The sequence below is a fragment of the Homo sapiens genome, chromosome 5 (assembly GCF_000001405.40).
Source record: "Homo sapiens chromosome 5, GRCh38.p14 Primary Assembly".
NCBI classification, from domain to species: Eukaryota; Metazoa; Chordata; class Mammalia; order Primates; family Hominidae; genus Homo; species Homo sapiens.
Genome location: NC_000005.10, coordinates 131,712,133 through 131,729,609, shown reverse-complemented (window position 1 = coordinate 131,729,609; position 17,477 = coordinate 131,712,133). Strand labels below are relative to the sequence as shown.

Sequence of the window (17,477 nt, the reverse complement as noted above, 5' to 3'; positions counted from 1 at the left end):
TGAGACCTTGTCTCAAAAAAAATATGTATATAGGGTGGCTGGCAAGATGGCCAAATAGGAACAGCTTCGGTCTGTAGCTCCCAGTGAGATCAGCGCAGAAGGCGGGTGATTTCTGCATTTCCAACTGAGTGTAAACAAAGCTGCTGGGAAGTTAGAACTGGGCGGAGCTCACTGCAGCTCAGCTAAGCCACTGTAGCCAGACTGTCTCTCTAGATTCCTCCTCTCTGGGCAGGGCATCTCTGAAAGAAAGGCAGCAGCCCCAGTCAGGGGCTTATAGATAAAACTCCCATCTCCCTGGGACAGAGCACCTGGAGGAAGGGGTGGCTGTTGGCACAGCCTCAGCAGACTTAAATGTTCCTGCCTTTTGACTCTGAAGAGAACAGTGGATCTCTCAGCACAGCTTTCAAGCTCTGGTAAGGGACAGACTACCTCCTCAAGTGGGTCCCTGACCCCTATGACTCCTCACTGGGAGATACCTCCCAGCGGTGGTCAACAGACATCACATACAGGAGAGCTCCGGCTGGCATCTGGCAGGGGCTCCTCTGGAATGAAGCTTCCAGAGGAAGGGACAGACAGGAATCTTTGCTGTTCTGCAGCCTCCAGTGGTGATACCCAGGCAAACAGGGACTGGAGTGGACCACCAGCAAACACCAGCAGACCTGCAGCGGAGGGGCCTGACTGGTAGAAGGAAAACTAACAAACAGAAAGGAATAGCATCAACATCAACAAAAAGGACATCCACATGAAAACCCCATCCAAAGGTCACCAGCATCAAAGACCAAAGATAGATAAATACACGAAGTGAGGAAAAACGAGCATAAAAGGCTGAAAATTCCAAACACCAGAATGCCTCTCCTCCTCCAAAGGATCACAACACCTTGCCAGCAAGGGAACAAAACTGGATGGAGGATGAGTTTGACAAGTTGACAGAAGTAGGCTTCAGAAGATAATAAAGGTAATAAACTCCTGTGAGCTAAAGGAGCATGTTCTAACCCAATGCAAGGAAGCTAAGAACCTGGAAAAAAGGTTAGATGAATTGCTAACTGGAATAAACAGTTTAGAGAAGAACATGAATGACCTGATGGAGCTGAAAAACACAGTACGAGAACTTCATGAAGCATACGCAAGCCATCAATAGCTGAATCAATCAAGCGGAAGAAAGGATATCAGAGATTGAAGATCAACTTAATGACATAAAGCATGAAGACAGAATTAGAGAAAAAAGAATGAAAAGGAAGAAACAAAGCCTCCAAGAAATATGGGACTATGTGAAAATACCAAACCTGTGTTTGATTGGTGTACCTAAAAGTGACAGGGAGAATGGAACCAAGTTGGAAAACACTCTTAAGGATATTATCCACGAGAACTTTCCCAACATAGCAAGACAGGCTAACATTAAAATTCAGGAAATACAGAGAACACAACAAAGATACTGCTCGAGAAGAGCAACCCCAAGACACATAATCGTCAGATTCACCAAGGTTGAAATGAAGGAAAAAATGTTAAGGGCAGCCGGAGAGAAACATTGGGTTATACACAAAGGAAAGTCCATCAGACTAACAGTGGATCTCTCTGCAGAAACTCTAAAGCCAGAAGAGAGTGGGGGACCAATATTCAACGTTCTTAAAGAAAAGAATTTTCAACTCAGAATTTCATATCCAGCCAAACTAAGCTTCATAAGCGAAGGAGAAATGAAATCCTTTCCAGAGAAGCAAATGCTGAGAGACTTTGTCACCATCAGGCTTGCCTTACAAGAGCTCCTGAAGGAAGCACTAAATATGGCAAGGGAAAACGGTAACAGCCACTGCAAAAACATATGAAATTGTAAACACTGTTGACACTAAGAAGAAACAGCATGAACAAACAGGCAAAATAACCAGCTAGCATCATAATGACAGGATCAAATCCACACATAACAATATTAACCTTAAATATAAATGGGCTAAATGCCCCTGTTAAGAGACACAGACTGGCAAATTGGATAACGAGTCAAGACCCATGAGTGTGCTGTATTCAGGAGACCCATCTCATCTGCAAAGATACACATAGGCTCAAAATAAAAGGATAGAGGAATATTTACCAAGCAAATGGAAAGCAAAAAAAAGCAGGGGTAGCAATCCTAGTCTTTGATAAAACAGACTTTAAACCAGCAAAGATATTAAAGAAAAACAAAAAGACAAAGAAGGGCATTACATAATGGTAAAGGAATCAATGCAACAATAGGGATCAGTGTAACAAGAAGAGCTAACTATTGTAAGTATATATGCACCCAGTACAAGAGCACCCAGATTCATAAAGCAAGTTCTTAAAGACCTACAAAGAAACTGAGACTCCCACACAATAATAGTGGGAGACTTTAACACCCCACTGTCAATATTAGACTGATCAACGAGACAGAAAATTAACAAGGATGTTCAGGACTTGAACTCAGCTCTGGACCAAGCAGACCTAATAGACATCTGCAGAACTCTCCACCCCAAATAAACAGAATATACATTCTTCTCAGCAACACATCACACTTATTCTAAAATTGACCACATAATTGGAAGTAAAACACTCCTCAGCAAATGCAAAAGAATGGAAATCATAACAAACAGTCTCTCAGACCAAAGTGCAATCAAATTAGAATTCAGGATTAAGAAACTCACTCAAACTACACAACTACTTAGAAACTGAACAACCTGCTCCGGAATGACTACTGGGTAAATAACAAACTGAAGGCAGAAATAAATAAGTTTGAACAAAGACACACCATACCAGAATCTCTGAGACACAGCTAAAGCAGTGTTTAGAGGGAAATTTATAGCACTAAATGCCCACAGGAGAAAGTGGGAAAGATCTAAAATTGACACCCTAACATCATAATTAAAAGAACCAGAGAAGCAAAAGCAAACAAATTCAAAAGCTAGCAGAAGACAAGAAGTAACTAAGATGAGAGCAGAACTGAAGGAGATAGAGACACAAAAAACCCTTCAAAAAATCAATGAATCCAGGAGCTGGTTTTTTGAAAAGATTAACAAAATAGACCACTAGCCAGATTAATGAAGAAGAAAAGAGAAAAGAATCAAATAAACACAATAAGAAACGTGTTGATCCCACAGAAATACAAACTACTATCATAGTTTGTACACAAATAAACTAGAAAATCTAGAAGAAATGGATAAATTCCTGGACACATACACCATCCCAAGACTAAACCAGGAAGAAGTCAAATCCCTAAATAGACCAATAGCAAGTTCTGAAATTGAGGCAGTAATTAATGGCCTGCCAACCAAAAAAAAGTCCAGGACCAGACTGATTCACAGCCAAATTCTACCAGAGGTACAACGAGGAGCTGGTGCCATTCCTTCTGAAACTATTCCAATCAATAGAAAAAAAGGAAATCCTCCCTAACTCATTTTATGAGGCCAACATCATCCTGATACCAAAACCTAGCAGAGACACAACAAAAAAAGAAAATTTCAGGCCAGTATCCCTGATGAACATCAATGGGAAAATCCTCAATAAAATACTGGCAAACTGAATCCAGCAGCACACCAAAAAGCCTATCCACCACGATCAAGTCGCCTTTGTCCCTGGGATGCAAGGCTGGTTCAACATATGCAAATCAATAAATGTAATCCATCACATGAACAGAACCAATGACAAAAATCACATGATTATCTCAGATGCAGAAAAGGTCTTCGATAAAATTCAACACCCTATCATGCTAAAAACTCTCAATAAACTAGGTATTGATGGAATATATCTCAAAATAATAAGAGCTATTTATGACAAACCCATAGCCAGTATCATCCCGAATGGGCAAACGCTGGAAGCATTCCCTTTGAAAACCAGCACAAGATAAGGATATCCTCTCTCACCACTCCTATTCAACATAGTATTGGAAGTTCTGGCCAGGGCAATCAGGCAAGAGAAATAAATAAAGGGTATTCAAATAGGAAGAGAGGAAGTCAAATTGTTGCTGTTTGCAGATGACATGATTGTATATTTAGAAAACCCCATTGTCTCAGGCCAAAATCTCCTAAAGCTGTTAAGCAACTTCAGCAAAGTCTCAAGATACAAAATCAATGTGCAAAAATCACAAGCATTCCTATACACCAGTAATAGACAAACAGCCAAATCGTGAGTGAACTCCCATTCACAATTGCTACAAAGAAAATAAAGTACCTAGGAATCCAACTTACAAGGTATGTGAAGGACCTCTTCAAGGAGAACTACAAACCACTGCTCAAGGAAAAAGAGAGGATACAAACAAATGGAAGAACATTTCATGCTTATGGATAGGAAGAATCAGTATCGTGAAAATGGCTATCATGCCTATAGTAATTTATAGATTCAATGCTATCCCCATCAATCTACCATTGATTTTCTTCACAGAATTAGAAAAAACTACTTTAAATTTCATATGGAACCAAAAAAGAGCCTGTATAGCCAAGAAAATCCTAAGCCAAAAGAACAAAGCTGGAGGCATCACGCTACCTGACTTCAAACTATACCACAAGGCTACAGTAAGCAAAACAGCATGGTACTGGTACCAAAACAGATACATAGACCAGTGGAACAGAACAGAGGCCTCAGAAATAATGCCACACATCAACAACCATCTGATCTTTGACAAACCTGACAAAAACAAGCAATGGGGAAAGGATTCCCTATTTAATAAATGATGTTGGGAAAACTGGCTAGCCATATGCAGAAAACTGAAACTGGATTCCTTCCTTACACCTTATACAAAAATCAATTCAAGATGGATTAAAGACTTAAACGTAAGACCTAAAACCATAAAAACCCTAGAAGAAAACCTATGCAATACCATTCAGGACATAGGCATAGGCAAAGACTTTATGACTAAAACAGCAAAAGCAATGGCAACAAAAGCCAAAATTGACAAATGGGATCTAATTAAAGAGCTTCTGCACAGCAAAAGAAACTATCATCAGAGTCAACAGGCAACCTGCAGAATGGGAGAAAACTTTTGCAATTAGCCCATCTGACAAAGGGCTAATATCCAGAATCTATAAGGAACTAAACAAATTTACAAGAAACAAACAACCCCATCAAAAAGTAGGTGAAGGATACAAACAGACACTTCTCAAAAGAAGACATTTACACGGCCAACAAACATGAAAAAAAAGCTCTTTATCACTGGTCACCAGAGAAATGCAAATCAAAACCATGATGAGATAAGCATCTCAAGCCAGTTAGAATGGCAGTCATTAAAAAGTCAGGAAACAAAAGATGCTGGATAGGATGTGGAGAAATAGGAACACTTTTACACTGTTGGTGGGAGTGTAAATTAGTTCAACCATTATGGAAGACAGTGTGCCAATTCCTCCAGGATCTAGATCCAGAAATACCAGTTGACCCAGCAATCCCATTACTGGGTATGTACCCAAAGGATTATAAATCATTCTAGTATAAAGACACATGGATACATATGTTTATTGCAGCACTATTCACAATAGCAAAGACTTGGAACCAACCCAAATGTCCATCAATGATAGACTGGATAAAGAAAATGTGGCACATATACACTATGGAATACTGTGCAGCCATAAAAAAGGATGAGTTCGTGTCCTTTGCAGGGACATGGATGAAGCTGGAAACCATCATTCTCAGCAAAATAACACAAGAACAGAAAACCAGCACTGCATGTTCTCACTCATAAGTGGGAGTTGTACAGTGAAAACACATGGTCACAGGGAGGGAAACATCACACACCAGGACCTATTGGGGGGTGGGGGGCTAGGGGGAGGGATAGCATTAGGAAAAATACCTAATGTAGATGACAGGTTGATGGATGCAGCAAACCACCATGGCACTTTTATACCTATGTAACAAGCCTGCACATTCTGCACATGTATCCCAGAACTAAAAAGCATAATAATAATTTTTTTTAAATGTATATAATTTCAGGTAAGTGGAACATTGTCTTTGAGTTACACAGGGTTTAACAGATTATTAGCTTCCAGGAATGAGTACTTAGAATAGACCTTTTAAATAAGGCATTTTAAAATAGACAATAATGATAATAGCATCCTTTTAATTATAAGCTTCATTGTAGATTATGTCACATTAAAATACATACCTTGCCAGTCACATTCATGGTAACTATTTAGTATATGTTAGAACAGACAAAGAGAACCTTAGTAGTAAACTATATGGTGTCATAAAATTCACATAGCAATTTATTAATATTTTTACTGTATTTTGCTTTCTGGGGATTATTTTATTTGTATAATAGTAAAATCTATAAATAAATGCCTTGGTATTTAAATTTGTATAGCTTGCTTAATACAAGAAATAAGAAATTCAGTCAAAATAACAATGGAGTTAGACACATTATGGTAAAAATGAGCTTATAAGGGAAGGCTGCCATGTCTATCATTAGCCAGAAGTAATTTAGGTTGCCAAGTAATACTGGCATTGATTTTTTAAATAGCTATTTTATCATTAAAAAAATTTTCTGCTCCTTTTCTGAAATGTTGTTCTCAGTACCCAAGCCTCTATGTCTTAAAATAAAAATTTGATCTTAACCAAATCTCAAGAATAAATTAGTTGCTTTGTATATTAGTAACCTAGGTATGACAGAAATGACTTTTTTCTTAAAAATTAACTTTGTGGGCTGGGCGAGTTGGCTCACACCTGTAATCCCAGCACTTTGGGAGGCCAAGGTAGGTGGATCACGAGGTCAAGAGATTGTTATCATCCTGGCCAAAATGGTGAATCCCTGTCTCTACTAAAAATACAAAAATTAGCTGGGTATGGTGGTACGCACCTGTATTGCCAGCTACTCGGGATGCTGAGGCAGGAGAATTGCTTGAACCCAGGAGGCGGAGGTTGCAGTGAGCCGAGATTGTGCCATTGCACTCCAGCCTGGGCGACAAGAGCAAGACTTCATCTCAAAAAAATGTGAAACTGATATAAAAATAGCCATGTATTAAAAAATGTGTTGCTACTTGAAGGTGTCTTTTTAAAGAAAAGTACAAATATTTAAACGTGGATTATCTTAACCCTAATAATAGGACAATTTAAGATAGGTAGTAAAGAGATAAAGGAGTAAAAGAGTCACATGATAAAACGAAAAACAGTGTGCAGCTGTATATCCTGGTCTCCAGTTGTAAAATGGGGATTCTCTTCACTTTATGGTTATTAGAATTTTCCTAAATATTTTAGAAACCATTTATTTTTTGATTTTATATAATTGCATCAGTTAAGAATGGTATTGGGACACTCTCTAAACAGTGGCTTAAACAAATTAGGGGTTGCGTTGCTGACATACATGATAACCCTAAAAGTGTACTATCTAGGTATGATACTGGGCTTCCAGATACCCTCAGAGACCATGGTTCCCTTATCTTTCTACTTAGAGTTAGTGTGTACTTGTTGCATTGTTGTTATAATATGACATCTCCATCTGTAGTGACTTCCATTTACATCTTACTGACCAGGCCTGTGTCAAATGCATGTAAATGAATAGTTCTGAAAATTGCTACTTCAACCATAACACTGATCTTTTAAGTATAAAAATTATTCTAAATCTCCTATCTTCAAGTGAGGCTGTGAAATGAAATTTTTTTCATTTGTGCACATTACTGCCCTAAAACAAACTGGACTTCAAAAAATGAGGAAGAATTAGAGAATAGATACTTGGTAGGTAAAAAGTGATATTTGCCATGATATCTAAATAGTAACCAAATGGATAAGCTCAATCTTTAACTATTGTCTGACTCCTGTGAAGACAAAGAATAATGAAAGAGAATAACTTTTTAATCAGGAGGTTCTTTGGAAACAAGACATTATAATGTTTCAAGGAAGTCTTGCTCTGTCGCCCAGGCTGGAGTGCAATGGCGTGATCTCCACTCACTACAACCTCTGCCTCCTGGGCTCAAGCGATTCTCCTGCCTCAGCCTCCCGCGTAGCTGGGATTACAGGCATGCACCACCATGCCCAGCTAATTTTTTGTATTTTTAGCAGAGATGGGGTTTCACCATGTTGGCCAGGCTGGTCTTGAACTCCTGACCTTGTGATCCTCTCGCCTAAGCCTCCCAAAATGCTGGTATTACAAGCGTGATCCACCGCGCTAGCCTCAAGGAAGTCTTTAAAAAAAAAATTGTGGGAAGAACATGAGATCTACCCTCTTAAATTTTTAAGTGTACAATGAATTGTTTTCTACATGTACAGTGTTACACTATAGATTTCTAGAGCTTATTCAAATTGCTTGACTGAAATTTAATGCCATTGATTAGTAACTCCCCATTTCCCCCTCACCCCAGCCCCTGGTAACTACCATTCTACTCTTTGATTCTGTAAATTTGGCTATTTTAAATACCTCATATAAGTGGAGTATTTATCTTATCATGCAGTATTTATCTCTTTGTGACTGGCTTATTTCATTTAGCCTAACGTCCTTAAGATTCATCCGTGTTGCGTGTTGCAGAATTTTCTTCTTTTTGAAAACTGAATAGTGTTTCATTCTATGTATTTATTATATTTCATTTATCCATGCATCTGTCAGTGGACATTTAGGGTTATTTTCACATCTTGGCTATTGTGAATAGTGCTGTAATGAATATAGGAGTGCTAACATCTCTTTGAGATCCTGATTTTAATTATTTTGGAAAAATGCCCAGAAGTGGAATTGCCAGATCACATGGTAGTTCTATTTTTAATTTTTGGAGGACTTGCCATGTTGTTTTCCATAAGTACAATACCATTTTGCATTCCTACAACAATGTGCAAGGGCTCCAGTTTTCCCACATCCTCACCACTTGTTGTCTTTGCTTTTTTGATTATAGCCAACCTGACAGGTTTTGTGGTTTTGATTTACATTTCTCTGATTAGAAATGTTGAGCGTTTCTCCTGTATCAGTTGGTCATTTGTATGAATTCTTTGGAGAAATGTTTATTCAAGACCTTAATTGCGTTATTAGTTTTTACTATAGAGTTGTAGGGGTTTCTGGTACATTTTGAAGCCAAATCCCTTATCAGATACATGGTTTGCAAGTATTTTTTCCCATTCCATATTTTATCTTTTCCCATTCCATATTTTATCTTTTTGCCCTCTTGATTATTTTCTTTGCTGTGCAGAAACATTTTAGTTTGATGTAGTCCCACTTGTCTGTTTTTGCTGTTGTTACCTGTGCTTTGGGTGTCATATCTGTGAAATTATTGCTAAGACCAATGTCATCAAGCTTTTCTCCTGTTTTCTTCTGGGAGTTTTACAGTTTCAGGTCATACATGTAAGCCTTTAATCTATATTCAGTTGATTTTTGTGCATGATATAGGACACCAGTTTTATTCTTTCGCATGTGGATATCCAGTTTTCCAAGAAGCATTTGTTAAGGAGACTATCCTGTCCCCATTGTGTATTCTTAGCACCCTTCTTGAAGATAAGTTGACTGTATACATGTAGGTTTATTTCTGGGCTGTTTGTTCTGTTCCATTGGTCTATATGTCTGTCTTAATGTCAGTACCTTACTGTTTTCACTACTGTAGCTTTGTAGTATAATTTGAAATCAGGAAGTGTAATGCCCACCAGCTTTGTTCTTTTTCAAGGTTGATTTGGCTGCTGCTTCTTGAAGAAGAAGGTTGTGGTCTTCTGTGGTTTCATGTGAATTTTAATATGTTTTTCTGTTTTTGTAAAAAATGCCATTAGGATTTTCATAGGCATAGTATTGAAACTGTAGATCACAGATATGTCTTTACAGAAATACAAAATAGATATAAATTGCCCCATTTATGGATGCTTCTTATATACAACAGGAGTAGTAAAAATTATTCTGCATATTCTTTGAATTTCACTTATTATCTATCCTGGAGAAACATTGCATATGCATAAGATGTGGTTAAGAATGCCTGCTTTTGCATTATTGGTAATAGCAAAAATCTGGAAGTGACTTAAATGCCCGTGAGTAAAGGGAACTGGTCTGACAAACTGTAGTATTTTCATACAATAAAATATTGTACAGCTCTTAAAAGGAATTAGTCAAATTTATGTGTAACAACATGGTTACATCAAGAAAACATTTTAAAAGGAAGAAAATCGAGTTGCAGAACAGCGTATACAGTGTAGAAGTACAACTCTTAATGTAGAATAACTATATCAAGAATTTTTAATAAAAATCAACATATGAAATAGTCATAAGCTTTTAATTAACACAGTTTGTTAATATGTGGTTATTGTTTAGGGTTCTCGGTGCTCTTCTGATGCCAATATGCTTGGAGAGATGATGTTTGGCTCAGTAGCAATGAGCTACAAAGGATCCACCTTAAAAATTCATCAGATTCGGTGAGAGGTTTTCTGATTTTTTTTTAACGAGTCCCATTTTTAGATATTTTCGTTTTTTTAGAGAGAATTTTATATGATCTTCACTCAGATTGAGCTTGTCATACTCCATTTAACATGTTCTATGGTTTTAATGCTACTTCATGGCTCTTGCAGCTATGCTGTGAAACCTCTGTGACTTACACATTTTTATTTATAATAAATCCAAAAGGTCATTATATTTTAGTTTTGGTCTCTCTCTTTCTCTTTTTCTTCATAGTTCCCCTCCACAGCTCATGCTCAGCAAAGTGTTTACTGCTCGGACTGGCAGCAGTATTTGTGGGAGTCTCAATACGTAAGTGCTTATGGATACAGGGGGAAATGTATCACTTTAGATGTGCAAAGTATGAAAACTAACCAACTGCTTTTAGGACTGCAGCACAAGTTCAGATTTTCTGTCTTTCCTTAAGTTTAAAAGTTCATGGAAGCCAGATTTCACTCTTAATTGAGTTTAGTTGAGAAACATGAGATGTGGTTTCTGTTTCTGTGAATTGCTAGAAGCAGTATCTGGAAGTAGAATGTTGAATGGATTTCCGTCTTAGGGCAACATGCTGATTTTTCAGTTTTGCGGTACCACGCTGAGTTACCTGAGTTACCACAATCTGTAGGGTTGGTGCTCTTCAATTTTCAGATCCCCTACGAAATTAACCCTAAAGACAGGACTGACCTAGGTCAGCCATACTGATATTGCACATATACACTATATAATGATAGCCACCAGGGTATTACAAGCTATTAATGCAAAGATTAGAATAGTGAAGCTGAAACAAAGGCAGGCCTGGTGTCAGGATCATGGGCCATGTGCCAGAACCTAGTAAATTACTGGGGCTAAAGTTAGGCAGTGGAAGACCCCAGAGAGAGATTTTGCAGGTGCCATATCAGAGCAAGACTCATTGGCTAGTCAGAGCCCCTGGGGGTAACCCAAGGTCAAAGGCAGCAAGGAAGCTACTCCAGACTACAGAAATTCTGTAGAGCCCCCATTAATTGTTAATGCCTTAAAAAGACCTGTTTGGAAGAGTTTTATTAGCTAAGTTTCTAATACCTGTAACTCTTTGGAAGGAAAGTGGGAGGTAGTCTTTTTTTTTTTTTTTCGAGATGGAGCCTCACTGTGTCACCACGGTGGAGTGCAGTGGCGTGATCTCAGCTCACTGCAACCTCTGTCCTGGGTTCAAGCGATTCTCCTGACTCAGCCTCCAGAGTAGGTGGGACTACAGGCGCAGGCCACCACGCCCGGCTGACTTTTTTTTTTTTTTGTATTTTTAGTAGAGACAGGGTTTCACTATGTTGGCCAGGCTGGTGTCAAACTCCTGACCTCAAGTGATCTGCCTGCCTCGGCCTCCCAAAGTGCTGGGATTACAGGCATGAGCCACCATGCCCGGCCATGGGGGGTATCCTTTAAAATATTATGGATGCCTTAAAAAATATTGAAGCCAAAAATACTGATTTTTAAAAGTAGAAATTAGAGATCTACTAAAGTAGAAATTAAAGATTCCATGTTGGAATCACTGATGTTAGCCATAATCACCAGAGTTTTTTCACCTTTTCTAAGTTCTGATAATTCCTAAAATCTCTAGAAAGGATATTTTGCACTAAAAGCATAAAGTACTTTTATTTTTCTTATCCTGAAAGAGACACTAAAAGAAGTGATATAGGTTATTTGTAATATATTACAGTAAAGATAGTTTTTGGATATTTGCCTAATGATTTATTCTCCTCTTCTTCCTCCTAGCTTCCACCTCTCCCTAACAGATAATTAGAAAATATTTTTAGGTCTAAAATATGAGGGGAAACCTTGTTTGTAATCTAAATCAGGTTCAGCAACTTCTACTTTAAAGATCCAGATAGTAAATATTTTTTGGCGCAAAGACTTGGAACCAACCCAAATGTCCAACAGTGATAGACTGGATTAAGAAAATGTGGCGCATATACACCATGGACTACTATGCAGCCATAAAAAAGGATGAGTTCATGTCCTTTGTAGGGACATGGATGAAGCTGGAAACCGTCATTCTCAGCAAACTATCACAAGGACAAAAAACCAAACACCACATGTTCTCACTCATAGATGGGAGTTGAACAATGAGAACACATGGACACAGGAAGGGGGACATCACACACTGGGGCCTGTCGTGGGGTGGGGTGAGGGGGGAGGGATAGCATTAGGAGATATACCTAATGTAAATGACAAGTTAATGGGTGCAGCACACCAACATGGGACATGTATACATATGTAACAAACCTGCACATTGTGCACATGTACCCTAAAACTTAAAATATAATAATAAAAAAAAATATATATATATTTTTTTGGCTTTGTGAGCCAGACAATGGGTTGTAGTTTCTCAGCTCTGCTGTTGCAGCATCAAAGCATTCATACACAGTATATAAATGAATGGGCATGGCTGTGTTCCAATAAAACTTTATTTACAAAAAGAGGCAGCAGACTAGATCTGGCACTCCAGGCTATAGTTTACCAACCTCTGATTTAAATGATTATGTTAGTTAATTTGTAATGCTAATAGGAAGAAACTGTTTTTGCACTTAAAATTTCATCAGGATGTACAAAGAATTGTCCTTAAACCATAAAATGAATTTGGAATTAATTTTCTTCTCACCCTCCATAGGCTACAAGATAGTCTTGAATTCATCAATCAGGACAACAATACATTAAAGGCTGATAATAACACAGTTATTAATGGACTGCTTGGAAATATAGGTAAATGGTTCCTTTGATTTTATAAGTTTAAAAAATACTAGCAGGGTAACAAGTGTTTTTTGAAGTTATTCCTTAATAATGCAGATCTGTCATGATAACAAAGAATTTCAAATACTGTAAGTGGAAGAGGCATTTAAATTGCCAGTATGTATAACATTTATTTGGAAAACATATTTTTCATATATTTGAACACAATATTTATTTTGTATCTGATAAAGAGTACTGCTGTAGATATATCTAATTTGTCTTCATTGTTTTTCGTTGTTAAATTTGATGCATCTTTGAAAGGTGTCAGTGATAAGAAAAGCCCTTAGTAGTTCTTTTGGCTATTTCAGCTGAGGAAGACTATTACACCTTCTTCCTTCTGTCTTCCATAACCATAAAAGTTATTTTAAAATGATGCTTGTTTTTGTGACCTGTAACTCAGATGAGCAGATGTTCAAATTTGATGTTTCTTAAAAGATTTATTAGAATAACAATTTATTTAGTACTTTGGTTAGCTGATTGTTGTTATTTAAGTACCACATTTTAAAGTGACAGACTTTCTAAAATTTCTGGTCATTTTTTCTAGACAGCTCAACTGAACTGCTGCTGTATTGCGATACTTCTGGTGCATAAAAAGCTATGTAGTAGCCAAGGGAATGGGATAGCAATTAGAATAGTATTAATATTTCTTCCATTTTCTGTTTAGTAAGAACTTTTATTTATAATTAATTTTAATAAATATTTGTTATATATTAGTAGAAAAGTTTTTTCTTCCAACTTGAACTGTATGACATCCTATTATTTATTTTTTATAATTTGTGTTTATTCAAATGAGCAATCACTTATAAAACACCTATTACTGTGGGCTAGTCATAGTGTTAGGCATATACTTTATAATGTGTGTGTGTTATAGAAAAATAGAAGTTCTGCATTTTCTTAACTCGTTTGATTACTTCATTGATTTTAATAAAGGAAAAATGTGACAAAGAAATAACGAAATCTCTTTTCTTTATAATTTGATACTTTTCAAAGCTCAAGGGGCTTGTTGAAAGTTGAAAGTAATTATGGGTTTTTTTTGTTTGTTTTTGTTTTTTGATATGGAATCTCACTCTGTCACCCAGGCTGGAGTGCAGTGGCGTGATCTTAGCTCACTGCAACCTCTGCCTCCCGGGTTCAAGCGATCCTCCTGCCTCACCCTTCCAAGTAGCTGGGACTGCAGGCACGCGCCATCACACCCGGCTGATTTTTGTATTTTTAATAGAGACAGGGTTTTGATGTGTTGGCCAGGCTGTTCTCGAACTCCTGACCGCAGGTGATCCACCCACCTCAGCCTCCCAAGGTCCTGGGATTACAGGTGTGAGCCACCGTGCCCCAGCCAAAAGGAATTCATTTTAACAACACAAATCCATTATTACTTATAAAGGTAAATTATACTATAGAGGTTAGATATACTTGTCTTCACTTTTAATATAGAGTAGAAAATCCATTTTACATACTACTGACTTTAAATAATGAGCAACATTTACTTGCACTCTTTTAATTGTGAATCAAGGATTTTTTGTGTGTGTGTCTACCATTTCTTATTTTCTTTCAATTTCCAATCAATCAGTCAATCAATCAATAAGTATGTGGTGAGCACCTGTAATATACCAAGCACTCTGCTTGGCCCTGAAGATGCAGTGGTGAACCAGACACAGTTCCTGCCTCAATGGATTTATAGTGAGTGGAAGTCAGAAAAGTAATACAACAATTACAGTATACTATAGTAAATTCTTAGAGTTAAAAGCAGTGTGTGATTAAAATAAGGAGAAGCACTCAATTCAGTCCTGGAGAGTCAATGAAGGCTTCCTTGAGGACATGAGGCTTAAGCTTGAAGGATTAGTCAGATGGTTAGGGGAAGAAATGTTCTATGAAGAAGCAGTGGTACGTACACAGACCTAGGGGTAAGAGATCATAGAGTATGGAAAGAATGTGAATAAATCAGTATGTGTGGAGCACAGAGTAGGGGTAAAGTTAATGAAAAAGAAAGAATGGAGCAAAAGCTAGATCACAAAACACACTGTAGGCCACACTGAGGAATTTAGAGTTAATGCTTGGTGTAGTGTAGTTGGGCACCAGTGCAGGTGTGTTGGTTCGGGTCCTTTACCTGTTTTTTTTAACGGTTTGCCAAAGACAGGATTAAACATGCAACAATTGTATTAGGGGAAATGACTATGTAAAGGAAAATGAGGAAAATGCTGGGAAAGGCTGAGAGACCCATCGAATTGTGATGTAAGTCTGACCATGAATGAAGGAGAGAGGGGTAGAATGTTGACTGGAAGTGTCTCAGCCCGCTATACAGTTCAAGGGAGGGTTAGCAAGGCCCTGGGAAGTATTTGAGTCAAAGTTGGTTGTCAGAAGTGTCCCATGTCTCCCCAAAATGGGCCTGCCTTTGTATACCTACTGTGTTCAGCCATTGGCTGGGAGCAGCCTATCAGCTATGTGTCCTTGCACAAATGTGGCAATAGATTTCAGCAGGTGTTCTTAATCAACATACTCTTTATAGTTGGAGATCTTTGACATATATTCTCGAGGTCACCACAGAGGAATTTTTGGAATATAGCAACACAGATTACATTTGTATCTGTAGAAGAATATTCTAACTGCAGTAGGAATGGATTCAGATAAGTGGGATTGAGAAAAGGCCCATATTAGAAGGCTGATCATGTTACTCCAAATGACAGATAATGTTACCTACAGTAAATTAGTGTCAGTGGGGATAGTTGTTGAGAAATTCGCTAAGGGACATAGAGTGGACCAGATTAGCTAATTAAATAGAAGAGGTGAGGCAAAAGGAAGAATCAAGTTTGGCACTTTGCTGGCTGTTTAATTGCATGTATATTGGTGCTATTCACTAAGGGAAATAGAAGAAATCAGAATTGATGATTTTAGGTTTAGGCATGTTCAGTTGGAAGTACTGGAATATCCAAGTGAAGAAATCCATTGTTGTTAGCTAGTTAGATAGGTATATTGTAGGGTATTCTCTTTAACATAAAAATGGATGAGTGTTTAATAATTTAAAAATAATAGAAGTTGACCAGTTAGTTGTATCTTCTGTGGATTTGAGAATCATCAGGACATAAATTATAATTGAAAGCACGGGAATGGAGGATGACCTAGGAAATGTAAAGAATGAGAAGGAAAGATTGTTGAAGATGGAACCCTGGGGAATGCTGGCTTTAAGAAGGGGTACGAGGCCGGGCGCGGTGGCTCACGCCTGTAATCCCAGCACTTTGGGAGGCCAAGGCGGGCAGATCACGAGGCCGGGAGATTGACACCATCCTGGCTAACATGGTGAAACCCCATTCTTTTGTAAAACACAAAAGAAAATTAGCCGGGCGTGGTGGCGGGCGCCTGTAGTCCCAGCTACAGGCTGAGGCAGGAGAATAGCGTGAACCCGGGAGGCGGAGCTTGCAGTGAGCCAAGATCGTGCCACTGCACTCCAGCCTGAGCGAGACTCCGTCTCAAAAAAAAAAGGGGTAGGAGAAGAGAGGCACACAGACTAAGACTGAGGGGGAAAAATACAGAGAGTGTGTTACATGGGAAAAAAGTTTACAGTGTAATATAATCAGCATCAATTACTGCTATAAGGTAATATAAAATAATATGGACTAAATTAAGCAACAGGAAGGCTTTTGGTGGCCTAGATGAGCAGTTTCAGTGGGGAGAATAGACATCAGAATGGGACGACTCAGGGTTTGGACTTTTGTCCAAGATGCAAGCAGTCGTTCTCAAACTTTTTGGTTTTAGGAACCCTTTACACACTTAGAAATTATTGAGGACTGCAGAGAACTTTTGTTTATGTGGATTACAACTACTGATAAATACTTTATTAGAAATTACAACCAAAAAATTGAAGAATATTTAGTAAATCCTTGAAAAATTACACTAATACCCCCTTTCATGTTATTACAGGCCTCCAAAAAATTAGTAAGAAGAGTGGCATTGTTTTATATTTTTACAAATCTCCTTAATTTGTGGATGAGGATACAGCTAAATTCTCATATCTGCGTCTGTATTCAGTCTTTTGTGATATTTTCGTTGAAGTGTATCAAGAAAATCCTGTCTCACACAGATATGTAGTTGGAAAATGGAGGACTTCGCAGACCCCCTGAAAGTCTCGGGGACCCAACGGGTCCTTGGATGACATTTTGAGAACTGCTGAACTGCTGTAGGATTAGATATATGGAGGGTGGTAGAAGAGAATTGATTGTGTTTAAGTGTTGACAGAATAAGGAAGTTATAAGGAGCATGAAATTAAAGACTAGAAGTAGTAATTGATAGAAGGAGGTTTTTGAAGAAGAATGGGGGATTGGGGTCCTAGCTGACTTAGAGTTAACTTTGGAAGGGAGGAAGGAACTTAGGATTTTTTAATAAGTCACTAGCACATTGTAAGGCTTGAATAACA

The 17,477-nt window shown here is 38.0% G+C and overlaps 1 protein-coding gene across 4 annotated transcripts in view; it reads left to right on the top strand.

Annotated features, from left to right (window-relative positions):
* The window catches only part of FNIP1 (folliculin interacting protein 1), a 155,304-nt gene that overhangs the window by 67,408 nt on the left and 70,419 nt on the right, over positions 1 to 17,477 (top strand). For all 4 annotated transcript variants that reach the window (NM_001346114.2, NM_001008738.3, NM_133372.3 and 1 more), the window contains 3 exons: positions 10,193 to 10,293; positions 10,550 to 10,624; positions 12,954 to 13,045. In NM_001346114.2, coding sequence (NP_001333043.1) covers positions 10,193 to 10,293; positions 10,550 to 10,624; positions 12,954 to 13,045 — 268 coding nt within the window. The remainder of the gene's footprint in view (positions 1 to 10,192; positions 10,294 to 10,549; positions 10,625 to 12,953; positions 13,046 to 17,477) is intronic.